This window comes from Homo sapiens, chromosome 11, assembly GCF_000001405.40.
Source record: "Homo sapiens chromosome 11, GRCh38.p14 Primary Assembly".
NCBI classification, from domain to species: domain Eukaryota; kingdom Metazoa; phylum Chordata; class Mammalia; order Primates; family Hominidae; genus Homo; species Homo sapiens.
This window is the reverse complement of record NC_000011.10, coordinates 121,480,907-121,500,847: the sequence shown is the minus strand read 5'-3', so window position 1 is coordinate 121,500,847 and position 19,941 is coordinate 121,480,907. Positions and strand designations below refer to the sequence as shown.

Genomic DNA, 19,941 nt, shown 5'->3' with positions numbered 1-19,941 from the left:
TGGTGTGACATCAAAATACTTGAATTGGGCATAATATTCTAAAGATACCATCCTGTCATTAACAGGGCATAACAATTTAGAGAGGCCCATAACCTATACTTTTCTGGATAATGCCTGGGACCTGTCAAGACATTGCGATTCCAGTTACCTGATGCCAACTGAAGGGGTAACAGACAACTATCAGCATAGTCAGCAACTACAGGAAGTCAGACAACTATCTGTAAAGGTCCAGATAATAGATATTTTAGGCTTTTGGAGCCATATTGCCTCTGTATAGGTACCTATGCAACTCTACCACTGGGCATGAAAGCAACCTTAGACCACAAATAAGCAATGAGCATGGCTGTGTCCCAGTAAAACTTCATTTACAAAAACAGGTGGTGGGCCATAGTTTCCTAGCATCCACTCTAGAACACAGCGTCTGCAGCATGCAAGGCGTGGGTGGCTGCATCATCTGTAAGGTCACAGAAGAGACTTCAAGTCCACAGATCATGTCTTTGCTTACTGATACACATTTGTGCAAGAAATATCTGGGCCTGGCTTGCATGATAATCTTAATCTGGTAGTGAGGTTATGAGGTTGTGAGGTTGTAGGGGAGTAGCTAACCCTGACCCACCTCAAGCTTTTCAGCAATTACTGTTATCTACTGAAAGAGCCTAACAGTTGTATATTACCAAATTAACAAATCACAGAGGAACCTCATTGTTTCTTTAATGGCCCTATCATTTTGATGTACACTATGAAGACAAATAAGTGAACTTCATGTCAAAAAGCAAGGAATAAAAATTAAACAAGGCAACTTAAGGGCAAAAAATACAAAGCACATTATAAAGCCAGAGCGAGGCCAACAGGGTACCAGGAGGTTCTGAAGACCTGGACACCAGCTCCAGTCCAGAAGCCAGGGGGCTGAAACAGTAGCTTGCAAAGGACTGTAATCATTCATGGTGCTGGAAGGAAGCAAAAGAGTTAATCATGCAAAACCAGCTTTCTGTAGCTTTAAAATCAGTTCTTTGATTTTCCCAATTTGATTTGAATTCATTTAACACTAAAGCCAGCTGGAATTTCCCAAGCTCAGGCAGCCTTAGAGCTAGGCAGACCCCAGATAAAAAGTTACACTTGCAGGTTTCAACACTCTTACTGGGAGGGGATTATCTGACCGAGGCCAACTTTGTTTATCCTTGTCGTTTAGCAGTCTGATGTAATAAAAAGGAGGAAAGCACATATTTTGTGTGCTATCCACAGCCAGTTGTGTTTCTTTTCCCATCAATCCATCCCTTGAGAAATATTCCCTAGACAGTAGTACAACTCTGTCATTTGAAGCATCTGCCTGTAGAAGGCTCAGGGCAGAGTTTCTCAAACTGGTGATTGTTAGACAACCTTGGGATGATCTGGGGAAAAGTGCATTTGAGCCCTGCAATCTGCACTTGTAACAACTGTCCTTGCCTGATGCTGACGTGGGTACTCCTAAGACCACAATTTGGGAAACACCTCTCAGTGGTGGCCTAACTCATCTTACCTACATCCTCTCACTAATACCACTGACCCTGGAATCTGGTGGCTCATCCATGTGCAGAAGGAGGAGCCAGCTCATAACTACAATTTTGCCACCAACAGCATATAAATAAATAAGCCATACAGAGAGTTAAGAATTGCCTATAAAAGTACCAAAAATTTAATACGTCTCCCACCAAATTTCTAAAAATTGACTACTTTTTAAATTAGGTGGGCAAACATGGCATTCATTCAACTCTATTGCGCATCTGCTGCGTATCAAACATAGCGCAAGGCACTGGGTACTGTATCGGTGAGATCAAAACAAACATGACCCCTAATCTTACCACTGGCCAGGTTTAATTAAAAACTCACCACAGGCACTCTGTAAATCAGATACATCTGGAGAACAGACATAGCTGTTAGACTAGAATGGAGGGCACAGAAAGCTCCAGCTAGAATATAACTTTTTTTTTTTTTTGAGACAGAGTCTTGCTCTGTTGCTCAGATTGGAGTGCAATGGCATGATTTTGGCTCACTGCAACCTCCACCTCCCAAATTCAAGCAATTCTCCTGCCTCGGCCTTCCGAGTAGCTGGGATTACAAGCATGTGCCACCACACCAGACTAATTTTTGTATTTTTAGTAGAGACGGGGTTTCACCATGTTGACCAGGCTCGTCTCAAACTACTGACCTCAAGTGATCCACCCACCTCAGACTCCCAAAGTGCTGGGATTACAGGCATGAGCCACCATGCCCGGCCCAGCTGGGATATAACTTAAACTCTCGACCGTGACACCTAGAAATAACCCGGTTAAGAGAAATGCACAACAGCTATCCATCCTGCCCTGGTTCAAGCAAAAAGGAGGACAAACCAGGCAGTCAGTCAATGTGTTTTAGAGTTCAGAATTAAAATCACACAATAACTCCAGGCCCAAGGCATTAAGGCAGAAAAGGCCTATAAACCCTGGAGAACTGAAGACAAGGTTTTAGACCATACTGAAAACTCAAGACTGTCCAACTGATGTCACAAGGCACCAGTGCTTGGGCCTGATTTCTTATCTGTGTGTTCCCATCACCCCATCCCTGCCCAAAGCCATTCGAGGATGCTTATGTTTCTGGGCTGCTGTACATATTTGTGCATGTGTGTTTAAGAGAAAGATAAAGAAACAGTCAAGGCAGGAAGGCACTGAACCAATGTCTATGGGTCAATGCAAATGGCCTGACAAGAAAAACTGCCATAGGCTAATGGTTTTTCAGAACATTTTGCAAGGTATGTAACTGGAAATGCCTCTAGCCTTTAGCCACCCACATCTCTCTTCTCATTCTGTCCTTACTCCCTGCTTTTCCTGCTGGGGAGATCCTCTCTTGACCCTAAAATCCTACTAAGAAGGTTGACCTACTTCCACCTGGCCTGCTACCAATTATAGAAGTAAATGAGAATCTGAAGGAAAAGATTACGTCTGATTTCAGTCTCTAAGGTTAACAGTGAAAGACAACAGAGTAACCTCCCAGTTAGCAAAGGCCTTCAACAGACCCTGAGTCAACAAGGGAAGGGCACCATCAGGAAAGCAAGCTAGTAGCCTCCCAGAAATAAGAGCCCCACCTGCCCTTGACTGGGCCTGGTTTTTTCCTTTACAACCAGGGTGATAAAGACTGAACTCAATACAATTTCAAGACAAGTCCTGTTAAGTAATCAACTCTGGTTTTGAATGAGCAAGCCCACCATTTCGGCATCTGGCTCCAACACATCAAATCAAGGGGAAGATTTTCCCAAAGGCTGAGAGTTAAGCTACTTACTGACAGCTGGAAGCTTAATTACTGCTTTTCTTAGAGCATTAACTCCCACTAGCCAATGACTACACATCCTATTAGCCATGTAAATTGACATGTGTTGAAAAATCTCAAAGAAATCAGCATAAGTTTAAAGGAAATCAGGCAGTGGGATTAAAGGAAAGAAGCCACTGAGCCACCCTCCCCTCTCCATTCTTTGTTCTTTTCATTGGGATTTCAAAGAAATACGTCTTTGTCAAGGATGCTTGGCTACCAGGAAACAACCAAATTCCTAGAGCCTAGAGCCACTTTGAGTGTTTGTCCTAGGCCTCTCCACTCCTCTGACTTCCTAGCACCTGCCAAGCCCTTTCGGAATGTTCGTCAATGTTGTCAATGTTGAGATCCCTTCAGTCAATCTGTCCCAAGCACATCCTTCCAATTCCTGTGTATGCAAACTCACCTGTTTAATCACAGAATGCCAAACTTCACAAAGGAAACTCAAAAGTAGTTTATTCTTTAGTACATTCAACTTACCACCACCTTTGTAGCAAACATGTACTTGTCCCGAAGCTGAAAATCTCTCACTTCCTCAAGGATCACTTCCTGGTTTTCCCGGGACTGGAAGAAATCTGTACTTCGGAAGACAGTGGAGTAGCCAGAGGGTTCATGTCGTTCAATGTAGATGGTATTTGGTTTGTCATAGGGATCAATTCCCCTGGCAGAAAAAAAAAAAAAGGTTGTTATCATTTGCACATTTAATTACTAGAGGCATGGAAGTTTTGCAATGGGATAATCAACTAGAGTTTAGGCCTACCATGGTGTGACCCACAGATCATACTCTCTGTGCCTCAAACATATCCCTTTGGTTACTCCTTGACTCAGGATAGAGGGGACAAATTGCCATTTGCAAGGTGTTTTATGTTGTTTTCAAAGCATCCTGGGTTTAGCTCAAGGCAACCCTGCCCTGCTTAGGAAGAGCAAAAAGTAGTAGTACAAGATAAAATGTTTCAAAATTAATAAGCAAGGGACTGCTTGAAGCTATAAGCAAGTTTCTGGTCTAAAGTTATGAATCTCAGAGGAATGAAGGAGAGTTTTCCCAAGGTGCTACATCCTCTGAAGAACATTACTGGAGAAACCACACCATGAACCTCTGAGCCTGATCCTTCCAAGTGACGCTGCCCTGTCTCTGCCCTGTCCCCTACCAATGTCATGGATCTAGGCAATCTGGAGCTGCCTGTGCATTTCGTCTCCCATGAGGCTCTTCCACAAACTCTTTCTCAAACATACTGATCTCCTTGATGTCCTTCAGAAAGGGAGGGCACCTTTCTCCCACTGTGCTTTTGCAAACACCACACTCTCGTGAGGAGATGCCCTCTGCACGCACTCTGATCCCTCCATCCAATTCCTACTCTCCTCTGTCATCAAGTTCAAGTCTTCATCTTCCAGGAAGCCTTCCTCAGTGCTGTCCTCTCTTCTCCCAACACTAGCAATAACATCCCTCTGCAGCATCCAATTCCAAGCCTTTTACATGAGTTTGAACTCCAAACAAAGGTATAAAACCCCTTTAGTTGGGTGATTTTTTAGAATCAGTCTTATTCCTTTATGCAGTAATGCCTCTTAGACACTGTATTTTATTGTTCACCATTATGTATTTGTCTGAGCTTCCTAGACACAGTATAGATGCCTCGGAAGGCCATGTCTTAGATTTCATTTTACCCTATAGTATTCCTAGCTGAAGAGATACTTTCTGCATTGGATCTGTGGGGCAATTCAAGAAGCTAATCCAAAATGAAAACATAGAATGACCAGGCCAAACTACCTTGGAGAAGAACTTCTGAGCCAGTGATCCCCCAAGAATCCCCACACAGCAGCTCAGAGGACAACTTATCTGCTCCAGGTCTCCTAACATTCTCAAGAACACCAAGGCCATGGGAACCATTCAGCAAATGGAAAAAATAAATGGTAAAGTCGGGAAGATAGTCTTGTAGTGAGAATACAGAGTGATGACTCAAGGAAAAGCAGAAGGCCTCAGTTAGGTAACTGCCCTTATACAATCCCATATGCATGATGGCTCTCAGAATAATGAAGGTAATCGTGTCAAATTCCTTCAGAGATATACTGTCAAGAGCATATTCCCCCCACCCCTCCCAAAAAGGAAAATAAGAAACAGAAAAACAAGAACCTCTTTTGCCAGATGTAGTGGGTCACACCTGTAATCCCAACACTTTGGGAGGCTGAGGCCAGGGTAGGGAGGGGGACCATTTGAACCCAAGAGTTCAAGACCAGCCTGGGCAACATAGTGAGACTCCACCTCTACAAAAAATAAATTTAAAAAAATTAGCCAGGTATGCTGGCGTACACCTGTAGCCCCAGCTACTCAGGAGGCTGAGGTGGGTGGATTGAAGCCTGGAAGTTTGAGGCTGGGTGAGCCATGATTGTGCCACTGCACTCCAGCCTGGGCAACAGAGCAATACCCTGTCTTGAAAAAACAAAGAAAAAAGAGCTTCTTTTTACAATGGGAGCAAGACTTGAGTTTTGCCCTACAATCTGGATTCTTAGGGCAACGGAGAAACCAGCAGCTTTGGTCCTAGTGTGGGAGAACACTATTCTTCATTATCAGATCCTCTGTGTGCATGTGTGGGCGGGTGGTGGCATGTTCTCTTCTTTTCCACAATTAGAAGTACTGATTAAAGTACTTCCTCTAGCCAGAGGATATGCAAATTAAAATGAGGCTGCTTGGTATTTTTAAAACGGCAGAGAGGAAGGAACCTTTATTGAGCTATTTTGAGACCCAGCTCACCTCTATTATTCCTTCCTAGCCAAAAGCAGCAGCCAACACCTAGAGATAGAAAGAACTGTGACTTTCATCCCAATTTTCTTCCGTAATCCATATTTGGACCTCCCATTTCTGCAAGCTGCTCCACCTACAAGTTCTCATACTTTGCAATCACTTAGACTTCCAATGTCTTACGCTCACTGACACCTACTTTCTATTGTCTTTGTCCTCATTGAGAAATTCCAATCCTTGCTCTATCTCTGAGCAGTCACCAGCCTCACCTGGCCTCACCTGAAATCCCTCAATGATGCTCCACAGGGTATCTTTGAGTCCCCTCAGCCCCCTCCAGGTCTTCCACTGTTCTGTCTTGCCAATCTCAAGCTCCGGACCATGTAAATTTTTAGCTTTCCCACTCCTGCTGCTCCCAACTCGCCAAGCATTGTTGAACAAATGTATATCATTATTCTGAGAGACTAGATTACGCTTTCACTTATTATGGGGAAACCTAGGGGGAGAAATCCCACAAATAGCCTAAAATCCCCTAACCGACATGTCATTAGCTTCAATGAGATAAACCAGTCCTTTCTCCCAGGATATCTGTATATCTACACAGAGGCAGAAGGTACAATATGATTTTAGAACTTAAAATTTCTAAATTGTATGTTCCCTTATCTAGTAATTCTGCTGGTTTGCCCTCTTAATTTATAGTTTCTTAAGCAGATAAAAGAACAATTTTTCCCCTTAAAATTCAAATAAAGCAGAAGAAAGTTCTAATGGTTCTCCTTGAGCAGAGGGTGTCCTTGGATGAGACTGTGGTTATAATTTCACTAAGATCCCACAACTTTTGCTCAAGGAAAATAACAAAAGGGTCAGAAACAGCTACCCTCTGTGGAAACATAAACAGAATCTATGGGTGTCTGATGATGGTCAGCTGTAAGGCTCCTCAACATACCAGCTCCATCTTTACCTCTATTACTAAGGAAGCAATACCAACTAAAAGACATTTCACTTTACATGGAGAACTAAAAGAAACAAAGGCAGTATCTACATCTTCTGGGACCATTACACTTAATGAGGACTAAAATTACAAGTAAAAGTCTAAAAACAAATGAAAAACTAGGAGATAGAAATATAAATACACACACATACGATCTATCTCATATCACAGCCAAAGGGCTAATCTCGAATATATAAAGAGCTCCTTGAAACCAACAATGAAAAGACTAATAATCAAATAGAAAACAGGCATGAGATCAGGCACGGTGGCTCACACCTGTAATCTCAGCACTTTGGGAGGCCAAGGTGGGTGGATCACCTAAGGTTGGGAGTTCAAGACCAGCCTGGCCAACATGGTGAAACTTCATATCTACTAAAAATACAAAAATTAGCCAGGCATGGTGGTGGGTGCCTGTAATCCCAGCTTCTCGGGAGACTGAGACAGGAGAATCACTTGAATCCGGGAGGCAGAGGTTGCTGTGAGCCAAGATCACGCTACTACACTCCAGCCTGGTCATACTTAAACAGACAAACAAACAAATAAATAAAACAAACCATAATCCCAGCACTTTGGAAGGCCAAGGTGGGAGGATTGCTTGAGGCCAGGTGTTTGAGATCAGCCTGGGAAACATAGGGAGACCTCCTTTCTACAAAAAAATGTAAAAATTAGCTAGGGATGGCTGCACATGCCTGTAGTCCTAGCTACTTGAGAGGGTGAGGTGGGAGGATCACTTGAGCCCAAGAGTTTGAAGCTGCTGTAAGCTATGATAGTGTCACTGCACTCCAGCCTGGGTAACAGAGTGAGACTCTCACTAAAAAATATAAAATAAAAATAAATAAAATTAGCCAGGCGTGGTGGCAGGCACCTGTAATCCCAGCTACTCAGGAGGCTGAGGCAGAGAATTGCTTGAACCCTGGAGACGGAGGTTGCAGTGAGCCAAGATCACGCCACTGCACTCCAGCCTGGGCAACAGAGCAAGACTCCGTCTCAAAAAAAAAAAAAAATGACCCTTAAGCAGATTAAAAGATGTTCTAACTCATAATAAGGAAAATGCAAATTAAACCACAGAGATAATATTTCTTCCCTAACACATTGGCTGTGGAGGGAGACACTATTCTATATTGTTGAGATGAGTGCAAACTTGACACTTTCTATATCAAATCTGGCACTCTCTACCAAAGTTACAATTTTAAGGATTTATTCACTGTGGATATATCAGTGCACAAAACTTACAAAAGTCCTTGCCCTTGGGAAGCTTTCATTCTATTGAAGGGAGAAAGACAAATAATAAGCATAATAATAGTATATTAGAATGTGGTAAAGTGCTCTGCAAAACAGAACAGAACACAGTACAGGAGATTGGGAGTAATGGGGGAGTAGGTGCAATTTTATTTTTATTCATTCATTCATTCATTCATTGAGACAGTTATTATTTATTTATTTATTTATTGAGACAGTGTCTTGGTCTGTCGCACAGGCTGGAGTGCAGTGACGCAATCTCAGCTCACTGCAACCTCCACCTACCGGGTTCAAGCGATTCTCCTGCCTCAGCCTCCCGAGTAGCTGGGACTACAGGCACCCGCCACCATGCCCAGCTACTTTTTGTGTTTTTAGTGGAGATGGGGTTTCATCATGTTGGCCAGGCTGGTCTCGAACTCCTGACCTCAGATGGTCCACCCACCTCGGCCTCCCAAGGTGCTGGGATTACAGGCATGAGCCACCGCACTTGGCCAGGTGCAATTTTAAATAGGATCCTAAGGTGGGCATAAATGAGGTGGGCTTCATTTAGAAGATGTTATTTGAGCAAAGACTGGAATGAGGTAAGGGAGTAAGCAGTAAGTATATCTTTGGTAACAGCATTTTAGGCAGAGAAAACAGCAATTGCAAATATCCTGTTCCCTGTGGTAAGAAGGTATCTGACATTTAATCTGAGAGAAATGATGAAGCATTAAAGGGTTCAAAGCAGAGGAACAAAATGATCTAATTTATTTGAATAGACTCAAACTGACCACATGCTGAGAATTAATGATAGAAAAACAAGAGTAAACGCAGAAAGACTAGTTGGGAGACTAATGAGCAATGACACTGGAGGCTGGCACTAGAAGTGGTACCTGAGTAGAAGATTCTAGATATATACTGAAGGTGAAGCCAATAGGATTTCCTGATAGAATGAATGTAAAGCATAAAACAAATGTGAAATCAACGATGACTCCAAAGATTTTGGCCTGAGCAAATGAGAAAAGTTATAGGTGGAGCTGATTTGGGGTGGTGAAGATCAAGAGTCAATTTGCGAGGGGTCAAGTTTGCAATATCTATCAGTCATCCATGTGAGTGAATGGATAGCTGTTAGATAAACCCACTGACCCAGCATACCCACTCCTAGAAATCTGTCCTACACATTTGCCTGCACATGTACAAATTCATATAATTCAAGATCCTATACTACTTTATCACTGTAATAGTAAATTACGATAAGTATATTACTATTTACTTCTAGAAGTACTTCTTGAAGTACAGCCTGTTTATTTCACTCCTCTTCTCACAAAACTACAGGGGTACCTCATTGCTTTCAGAATGTAGCCCAAATTCCTTTATCAAGCGATGCAGATTCTAATACCAACTTCCCTTTCAAAACTTCACCCAATACACTGTCCAAAATTAAGAGTTCATGTTCTCTACCCAAGCACCACATTGGCGCATCCCTGTGCCTTTGGCAAGTCACTTTGTTCCTCTGCCTGGAATTCCTGTCCTCCACACCTCCACACAGGGACATCCTACCTGTTGTGCACATCCTGGATCAAGGGCCACCTCCTCTACACAGCTGTTTATGATCCTCCCATCTGGAAGGATAAATCCTCTCTCTAGCTTCTCATACTATGTCTGTTACCTCTGTGCCTCTTTCACAATGTGTGTTACGTACCTGAAATGTCTTTCCTTACCTCTCCTTAATAACTATATCCATAAATTATTCAATTTCTTATACCCTTAAGAATCTAGTAGGTTTTATATTTAACAGACATTCAAGAAAATGTTATGAACAAATGCAGGAATTTTTTTTTTTTTTTTTTTTGAGACAGAGTCTCACTGTATCGCCCAGGCTGCAGTGCAGTGATGCGATCTCGGCTCACTGCAACCTCTGCCTCCCAGGTTGAAGCAGTTTTCTTGCCTCAGCCTCCCAAGTAGCTGGGATTTATAGGCACATACCACCATGCTCAGCTAATTTTTGTATTTTTAGTAGAGACAGGGTTTGACCATGTTGGCCAGGCTGGTCTTGAACTCCCGAGCTCAGGTGATCTGCCCACCTCAGCCTCCCAAAGTGCTGGGATTACAGGCGTGAGCCACTGCACCCAGCGAAATGCATGAATTTTATATAGAGAAAAACTCCCACTTCTAATATGATGCTCTAAAAATGAAACTCTACAAACATGCAAGGGCCTCAAGATTCCCCTGGGTTCCCTGATTGATTGAAAAATGCAAAAGCTCTACCACTCCTCTCATAAATACCTTACTTTCTCCTCCCCCCAACTCTCTCCCACAGTGAGATCATTGTACTTGCAGCTCTAATTCTCAGATCTGGAAAAATGTATTTCCTGAATAAATGCTGGACATTTCAGGGGAGGGCAGTTTGTCCACCAAGAAGGAGCTAGAACTGGAGAAAGGAGGTTACATATATCAAGATTTCTTAGATGACACAACTTACCAAGAAAAGGACTTGACATGTTCCTGAATCATGATCCAGGTCTGGCCAAAGTCATCTGACTTCCACAGCTGCAAAGACAAGTGGTCATGATGCAAGAGGCATGTATAATACAACCTGAATGGCATCACCATCAAACACCCGCTGAAATCCCACCTTCCATGACACGCTGTCTGTGAAGGCAGGCACTGAGACTGCCAAAGCCAGCTCAGTTGCTCCAAAAGCAAACAAGGGCAAGAAAGGAAAGACAACTGTGTACCTATGTGTTCTCTCAATAGCAACTGGAAGGAAAAATGAGTAGGACTTGCCTTCCATTTATGGATTACCAAAAATTATATTTCACTCAAGACTAGCCTCTAGGTAATGGTAAAAACCAAAGGATGATTATACTCAGCACTTTTCAACGAAGAAACAGTGTCCTTAAAAACCTTTCACAGATAGCAGCATTATTCACAACAGCTAAAATGTGGAAGCAATCCAAGTGTCCATGAGGGATAAGCAAATAAGCAAAATGTGGTCTATGCATACAATGGAATATTATTCAGCCTTAAAAAGAAAAAAATTGACACATGCTACAATATGGATTAATCTTAAGGACATTCTGCTAAGTGAAATAAGTCCATCACAAAGTGACAAATAGTATTAATTCCACTTAGGAGGTACCTAGAGTAGGCAAAAGCATAGAGACAGAAAGTAGAATGGTGGTTGCCAGGGGCTGGGGGCAGAGAGGTATTATTTCATGGGTGTAGCGTTTCAGTCTTGCAAGATGAAAAGTGTTCTAGAGATGGATGGTGGTGATGGCTGCAAAACAATATGAATATACTCAATATCACTACACTGCATGCTTAAAAGGGTCAAAACAGCAAATTGTACGTTATGAGTATTTTAACACGCACAAAAAAGAGGAAGAAAACAACAGTAATGGGCCCTGATAATTAAAGATGAATGCAGAGGACACCAGCTAAGTACAGAGCCCCACAGAGAACCAACTGAATACACGGCTGTGGCAATGAGGAATTAACCTGCTGATCTTTGCCAAAGCCCCTCAACTTCCACAGATGGAATCTGAGGGTTCCTCCGGCCCTAGCAACCATGTATTAAGAAGCAGGAGACCCAAAGTAACAATAATTCCCCCTCCGCTGGTAAACTGACCCAGCCCATACTTAGGTTACTCCCTAAGGCAAGCAAAGGTAAACAGATCTGTGTTTTGGTTAAACAACCTGCAAAAAAACGTTCCAAGGTTTCTCTGAGCAAAAACATTCAAGGCTCACTGTAAATCCAATCATACAGGATCTACAAGTTTCACAGATTTTTGCCAAACTAATATCCTTGACTTGGCAAGCTTCAACCTTGAGATATAAGTCTTACTCAGGCTCTTTCCTCATCTCTCAGATTTCCTTCAAACCTGGGTTGAAGGAGGAAAATACACACATTTATATGATACACACGCACGCACTCGAAGGAAGACTATTACTGTTAGTGGTAACTTCAAATAAATGGGAGGCAAAAGCAGTGTTTAAGATGGAGGATGGAGAAAGCAGAACAGAAATTCAACAAAAGGTCCCTGAAGAGCTCAGATTCCAGCTTTCTCCACCTGGCTCTCTCTCTGATTAAATTCCAGAGCCTCGATTTACCCCAAGGGCTAACAAAGGTGCAACTGCATGGAGAAGGGCATGATGTTTAACTCACAGGGCCTGCCAAGTGCTGGGTGCTGATGGCTGGCTGGGCTGCCAACTGAGAGTGCCAGGAGGAGATATTTTTCTTGAGCCCTGGTAAGTGAAATAGTAGCTACAAAGGCTAGGCCCAAGAGAGAAGGAGGGAGAGGCAGGAGGCGAGGTCACTCAAAGGACACACAATCCACACAGGCAGAGGAGAAAACTAGAGGAGCCCCATGCAACTGGGTTCTGAAAGCCCTCTTACCTGCTTGTTGGGGTGGGACCTGTCAAAGCCCAAGAGAAGGTTGGAGGCCTTACTGTGTAGGAGGAGATCAGCTGCCCGAAATGGGATGGAAAAGCCTTGAAGAGTGTTGCAGAAGTCAAACGTGATCCAGAGGTACTGGGCATAAGCGTCTGCAAAGATGTACTGCAAGGGAAAACAGGTAAGTTGAGAGCAGGCCCTGTCCAGAGCTGCCCAACACTCCCCTAAACCATGTGCGAGTCCACACGAGTACACACATGTGCAGGGGCCAGCTGGCACCAACAAGGCACCACAGCCTTACAGGGCTTCCACAATGGCTTTCTCCCCATCTCTTGGCAATAAAAAGACACTGGCATACTCCAAACAAGGCTCAGCGAAAGGAGGCCTGGAGATGGACCGGGATGAAGCTACAAGGTGGGCTTGTTTAACCAGGTAATGAAGTGGGCCTTTCTGTTGTTTCCTTTCAATGAAATTAGCAATTCCCACTCCCTAGTGGGTCACTCAGTCACAACCAGAGGGTAGTTACTGGCATCTGGGACACAGACGCCCTACTTTTCAGATTGGCTAACACAGATGGGATGGTTGAGTCTCCCTGCATCCTCCAAGCAGCTATGGGACATGGCTTTCCAGGAAAAGCACTAAAATCACTTCCATCTAAGAAGATAAGCTTCTCCTTCGTGCTGCTATGCCAGGTGATCGGCAGCTCTGGGGACCAGGCTGCCACTGTGGCTGGCAGGCTCACTCTGGGGCAGAGCAGTAAGTAGCTCTGGTGAGCACGGGCCTCATCCTACTTAGCTTCTGTGTGGATGAGTGAATCTGAACAATTTAGGCTGGATAGTGGCTGCGGCTGAAAGAATTCCCTGGGGAGAAGGATCCAGGCAATTCAACCTAACACATGTGTGCTGCATTCCCACCACGGACCAGACGCTCAGGAGCTGCCACAAAAACCCAAGATGCCTTCCCTCAAGTAGCTCAAAATCTAACATGGGAGACAGACATGTCCAGGGCTAACCATCAGTCAAGAGAAAGTGAGGCTGAATGAGAAGCCATGACCAGAGTCCTATGAGTGCCTCTCCAGGCTGAGAGATGAGAAATGATTCCATGGAAGAGGTGGGCCTCGCAGGGCAGGTGAGACTCCCACAGGGAAAGAATATTCCACGTCTAGGGCAGTGTGGGTTTGGGCACAAAGGGGGAAAAGAGATATAGCATGGGTTTGATGAGAGTCTTGTTTATTTGAGACAAGGTCTCGCTCTGTTGCCCAGGCTGGAGTGCAGTGGCACAATCATGGCTCAGTGCAGCCTTGACCTCCCCGGGCTCAGGAGGTCATCCCACCTCAGCCTCCCAGGTAGTTGGGACTACAGGTGTGTGCCATCACAACCAGCTAAGTTTTTGTATTTTTTGTAGAAACAGAGTCTCACCGCCGGGCGCAGTGGCTCGCGGCTGTAATCCCAGCACTTTGGGAGGCTGAGGCGGGGGGATCACGAGGTCAGGAGATCGAGACCATCCTGGCTAACAGGGTGAAAACCCATCTCTACTAAAAATACGAAAAATTAGCCGGGCATGGTGGTGGGGGCCTGTAATCCCAGCTACTCGGGAGGCTGAGGCAGGAGAATGGCGTGAACCCAGGAGGCGGAGCTTGCAGTGAGCCAAGAGCGTGCCACTACACTCCAGCCTGGGCGACAGAGTGAGACTCCGTCTCAAAAAAAAAAAAAAAAAGAAAGAAAGAAACAGAGTCTCACCATGTTGCCCAGGCTGGTCTCAAACTCCTGAGCTCAAGCCATCAGGCTGCCTCGGCCTCCTAAAGTGGTGGGATTACAGGCATGAGCCACTGCACCCAGTGACAGTCTTGAGGGCCTGAGAGAAATAACCAGAAAACAAGGCTGGGAAGCACAGATGATGTAAGGCCTCGCATGCACACCTGGCAAGACCCGGAGGCCGGTCCCTGCTCCTGGAAGAATGAGGAAGGCTCAGGAGATTATGAATCAGAAACCAGAGCAACAGGGACCTAGTTCTACCCACAGCCAGTCATTGACATCCTAGAAGTCAAGCAATCCTGCAGGATAAGCCCAAGGACACTTTCTCGAATGGACTCCACCTGACCCAGATCAATCTCCAGCTCTGAAACCTTTCAGTGCCACAGCCTCGGTGTGGACCAGCACTTTGCACTTGTCTCATGCTGCTTTCAGATGTGCTCACTCCTTTTCATTTGCACTCTCTCCCCAAATCCAGACCATAAACTTCCCAGGGACATATTTTGTGGATTCGCTCTCTCACGTTTCCTCCCCAGCATCTCAGGTAAATCTCTAAACTCTGCAGAAGCCTCATTAAATCAAACTGGAAAAGGTAGTAAATGTTTTGAAAGCAAAAACTACAATAAAATGCAATGTTATAAAAAACAATTATGATCCTAAGAGGATCATCATAATTTCTGGCATAAAAGTATTCCCCAGAAATAACATAGTCCATCTTCCTGCTCCCAAACCACCTAGGTTATTGGGGAAGGAAGCATCCTCAATTTGAAAAGATTTCCCCAGAAATCTGTTCCATGGCTTCCTGCAGTCTCACATTGGAGAATCCAAAAATCACGCACCCCGTCATAGAATGTATTATTGTCCATGGTAATAGCTAAACGTTTTCAAGAGCACTTCCTATATGCCAGGCACTGAGCTAAAAGTTTGGCATGCCCTATCTCATTCAGGGTTCACAGTGACTCAATGCTTTGGATATTACCGTTATACACTCTTTTAATAATGAGGACACTGAGACTGAGAGTAGTTTACTGCCCAAGGTGACGCAGGACTAGGCAGCATTGACGTCAATATCTGACTGGTTCACATGTTCACATCTCACCCCTTAACAGCTCTTTTAACAAAACGGCAACATTTCCTGAACTTCATTCATAGGTCTTACCTTGTACCATTTAACTCATTTGTGTGCCTTCTCTCCTAATCCACAGCACCCTCTCATTTCACCTCTCCATCCCCAGCCCCTGATCATCTCAAGCCTTGATTCTCCTCTGCTGGCTCCTTGGTCCTCCCCACTCCCTACGCTCATATAACCTCATTCTTCTTCCATCCTTTGCTGCTAACTTTGGCTTATCCTTTCACAAAGCTTCAACCACCGCCCTTAAGAACAAGCATGGGGCCGGGCGGGGTGGCTCATGCCTGTAATCCCACCACTTTGGGAGGCCAAGGTGGGCAGATCACTTCAGGTCAGGGGTTCGAGACCAGCCTGGCCAACATGGCAAAACCCCATCTCTACTAAAAATACAAAAAATTAGCTGGGCATGGTGGTGTGCACCTATAATTCCAGCTACTCAGGAGGCTGAGGTGCAAGAATCGCTTGAACCTGGGAGACAGAGGTTGCAATGAGCCGACATCACACCACTGCACTCCAGCCTGGGTGATGAAGTGAGACCCTGTCTCAAAAACAAAAGAAGAAGCATGGCATGACTTTCAAATCTACAGTCTAACCCTCAATTCTTACAGAGATTCCATTTTTGTTTACCTTCTCACCATCTCCACTTTTGATGGGCCAAGATATTTTACTATACGCAAAACTTGAGTTCTTCAAAACTTTCCCAACAAAACCCAATTCTCCCTCCCCACGTCCCAAGTCTCCTGCCTGCTATGCCTTCTCCCAGCCCCACTACTCACAAGCAGAGATGGGTTTTTACTCCAGTCCTTCCCTTTGGCCCTCACTCTCTATCAGCCACCAAACCTGTTTTGTTTTCCTTTAAAATCTTTCTCAAAATATGTGCCTTCCTTTTTCCTCTCAGTGCTATTGGCATGGCCCACGTCTTCACTAGAGACTAAACAAACTGGAGGCAGGCAATGGGTCTTCTTCATCCTCATGTCTTCCAGGGCCTAAATGAAATACTTAGAGGGTGATACCAGGTTTGATTGAGCAACTTCATGCCTACACTGCCACAATAGTTCCCTTTCTAGACTCTTCCCTAATCTTTCCCTGCTAAAAGGGAAAGTCAAGAATATTGCCAGAAGACACATTTCCCTAAAGGACACTATTCATTTACACCCCTACTCAAATATTCTTTCCTAGCTCTGTTCAGCCCTCAAAGCAGAAGACAATCTCCATCTTCAGACACGGGCCTGTTTGACATTGCACAGCAGCTCAATACAAGCTCTCCACCACCAAAAAGTGAATCTCCTCGCTGTCCTGCACAGAAACCACATTTTGGCACTTTGCAGTCTCTGCTGACGCCCTTCTCCTGCTTGAGGGCTCCTGACAGCTCTCCTCTACTTACTGGGGTCACATGTCCATCCTTGAAGCTCATATCAAATCCTAAGTACCCCATGAAGACTTGGCTTCTATGATCCAACCTCATTTGATTCCCCTAGCTCTATTATTTGTAGGTTACATTCATCACTTGAGCACATGGTACCTCATGCTGTGATACAAAGGGTCAGATATGTACATGTTAGGAAGACACAGTATTTCACCCTGGCTTTTAAGTCTCTGTGCTGCCTGGCTGTCAAGTTTACTGGAGGCCAAACCTACAGACTGACCAAGAGCTGACCTACAAGGTGCTTCCCAAACTATGCAATTTCAGGAGTGCCTTTGTGTACCCCAATCTCTCCAACCCTGTTTGCAGTAACTTAATATTCCAGAGGAGCTTCCTCCTTTGGTTAAAAGCTGTTTCCTCTGAAAATACAAATACCTCTGGAAAGAAAACAAACTAAGCTATAGAATGTATCCACAGTCTATTAGCATAAGTGACTTTCTCCAGTTTCAAGTGGAGAAACCAAGAGTACAATGAGAGGAGGAAGGGCAGAGAAGGCAATGAAGGAACATCCCTCTAGAAGGTGGGAATGAAATTTTACCTAGGACCAACCTCTGCCTGGAAAAAGGCAGGACTGGGTCTTGCTTCTGCTGAGGCTGAGGCTGTGAGGCCTAACTGTACATTCAGTGTCCTTTTTTAAAAAGCCCCAGATATGCAGTGGCGCTGGCCCGTAGTCACAGCTACTTGGAAGGCTGAGACAGAAGGAATACCTGAGCCCAGGAATTTGAGGTTACAGTGAGCTATGATTGTGCCCAGGATGTATGGCAGAGCAAGACCCCTGTCTCTATTTTTTAAAAATTATTAAGTAAGCAAATAACAGCGCCAAACATATTTCAATTCTGTCTGACCAATCTCAGGGGCCCCACAATGTTGGCAGAACTGCCATGTGGCCAGCACTGCACAATGGTTCAGGGCAGCACACAGGAGACCAAGAAGGAAGTGGGACTGCTGGCTAATGCAGAAATAGACCCAAAACTCACATGGGCCCACAAGCACCATCTCCATCACAAGGCAAAGCCTTCGGACTGGAACTGGATGCCGCGCTAGCACCTTCTCTCCCCTTCCACAGGCACTCATGCTCCTAGACATCCACGCTGCCCTTTCCTGACATCTTAACCTTTCCAAGCAGCTGCTAACATTCATTTCGACCATTTCAAATGCTCCTTGGCAGCTCGCATTTTCACCTGGGTGATTTGCCTAGGCAGAGCGCCCTGCTGTTGACAGCAAGGCATCCAGCCTTGTGTGATTTTTCTCAGGAAGTGGTAGGTCTGGTGGGGCAATTTGCCTTCCAGGGGACAAAGGCAAAAGTAACAGAAGCAATCAGCACTGTTAAGAGTCATCATTTCCTTCCTGAGAGTCTGGTGGGGTGGTGAGGAGCAGCCTTCTCTGGGGAATTAGAAACTATCTACAGAGAATGCTGCCCCCACCAACCCACTCAGCCTGTTCCAGGCCTGAGGCCCAACTGTCAACAAATTCTCCAAGAAGGCAGCCTTTTTTCTCCTGACTTCTCCAACCCCACCAACTCCAAAGAATATCCACCCATGAGAATCTAAGACACACCACTCGGAGGTACACAGCACTTGGGATGCAAACATGTCACCCCCATTCCACAGTGCAGCACCTAAACTCCCTTACTGGAATCACCCTCCAGTTTCCCCTTGCTCTTGCCCCAAACACCACGGCCCCTGCTCTGCTCCTTCTCCAGATCCAGTGCTTCCAAAGCCCCAGTCCTCTGCCTGCACTAACCCTCCTCCTTCAAGTCCAAAACATCATCTGTCCTGTCTTCTGACTCTTCAGACTTGTGGCCTTAGCAGTTGTTCACCACAACCCACAACAAGCAGAAAGGAAGTCAGAACCCACCTATAGGCATCTGTGTACTATGGAAGAAGCTGGGGAAGAAGAGATGGAGCCTGCCTATAGGTATCTGTGCACTAGGGGAGGAGCTCGGGAGGAGGAGATGAAGCCTGCCTATAGGTATCTGTGCACTAGGGGAGGAGCTGGGGAGGAGGAGATGAAGCCTGCCTATAGGTATCTGTGTACTAGGGGAGGAGCTGGGGAGGAGGAGATGAAGCCTGCCTATAGGTATCTGTGCACTAGGGGAGGAGCTGGGGAGGAGGAGATGGAGCCTGCCTATAGACATCTGTGCACTAGGGGAGGAGCTGGGGAGGAGGAGATGAAGCCTGCCTATAGGTATCTGTGCACTAGGGGAGGAGCTGGGGAGGAGGAGATGGAACCTGCCTATAGGTATCTGTGCACTAGGGGAGGAGCTGGGGAGATGAAGCCTGCCTATAGGTATCTGTGCACTAGGGGAGGAGCTGGGGAGGAGGAGATGAAGCCTGCCTATAGGTATCTGTGCACTAGGGAAGGAGCTGGGGAGGAGGAGATGAAGCCTGCCTATAGGTATCTGTGCACTAGGGGAGGAGCTGGGGAGGAGGAGATGAAGCCTGCCTATAGGTATCTGTGCACTAGGAGAGGAGCTGGGGAGGAGGAGATGGAGCCTGCCTATAGGTATCTGTGCACTATGGAAGAAGCTGGGGAGGAGGAGATGGAGCTTGCTTATAGGTATCTGTGCACTAGGGGAGGAGCTGGGGAGGAGGAGATGGAGCCTGCCTATAGGTATCTGTGCACTAGGGGAGGAGCTGGGGAGGAGGAGATGGAGCTTGCCTATAGGTATCTGTGCACTAGGAGAGGAGCTGGGGAGGAGGAGATGGAGCCTGCCTATAGGTATCTGTGCACTACGGAAGAAGCTGGGGAAGAAGAGATGGAGTCTGCCTACAGGTATCTGTGTACTAGGGGAGGAGCTGGGGAGGAGGAGATGAAGCCTGCCTATAGGTATCTGTGCACTAGGGGAGGAGCTGGGGAGGAGGAGATGAAGCCTGCCTATAGGTATCTGTGTACTAGGGGAGGAGCTGGGGAGGAGGAGATGGAGCTTGCCTATAGGTATCTGTGCACTAGGGGAGGAGCTGGGGAGGAGGAGATGAAGCCTGCCT

At 45.4% G+C, this 19,941-nt stretch overlaps 1 protein-coding gene across 1 annotated transcript in view, besides 2 other annotated features; it reads right to left on the bottom strand.

Annotated features, from left to right (window-relative positions):
* Positions 1–19,941, bottom strand: part of SORL1 (sortilin related receptor 1) — a 181,450-nt gene that overhangs the window by 132,916 nt on the left and 28,593 nt on the right. The window contains exons 4-6 of the mRNA NM_003105.6: positions 12,655–12,816; positions 10,738–10,805; positions 3,799–3,979 (exon numbers count right to left, since the gene is read on the bottom strand). Coding sequence (NP_003096.2) covers positions 3,799–3,979; positions 10,738–10,805; positions 12,655–12,816 — 411 coding nt within the window. The remainder of the gene's footprint in view (positions 1–3,798; positions 3,980–10,737; positions 10,806–12,654; positions 12,817–19,941) is intronic.
* Positions 2,209–2,709: an enhancer, noted in NCBI's record as "H3K27ac hESC enhancer chr11:121368848-121369348 (GRCh37/hg19 assembly coordinates)". NCBI's record gives its function as "activates a minimal SCP1, AML or CMV promoter by ChIP-STARR-seq in primed H9 embryonic stem cells {active_cell/tissue: H9 hESC(primed)}" and the evidence as "EXISTENCE:reporter gene assay evidence [ECO:0000049][PMID:30033119]".
* Positions 17,971–18,140: an enhancer, noted in NCBI's record as "active region_5659". NCBI's record gives its function as "activates an Ori minimal core promoter by ATAC-STARR-seq in GM12878 lymphoblastoid cells {active_cell/tissue: GM12878}" and the evidence as "EXISTENCE:reporter gene assay evidence [ECO:0000049][PMID:35858748]".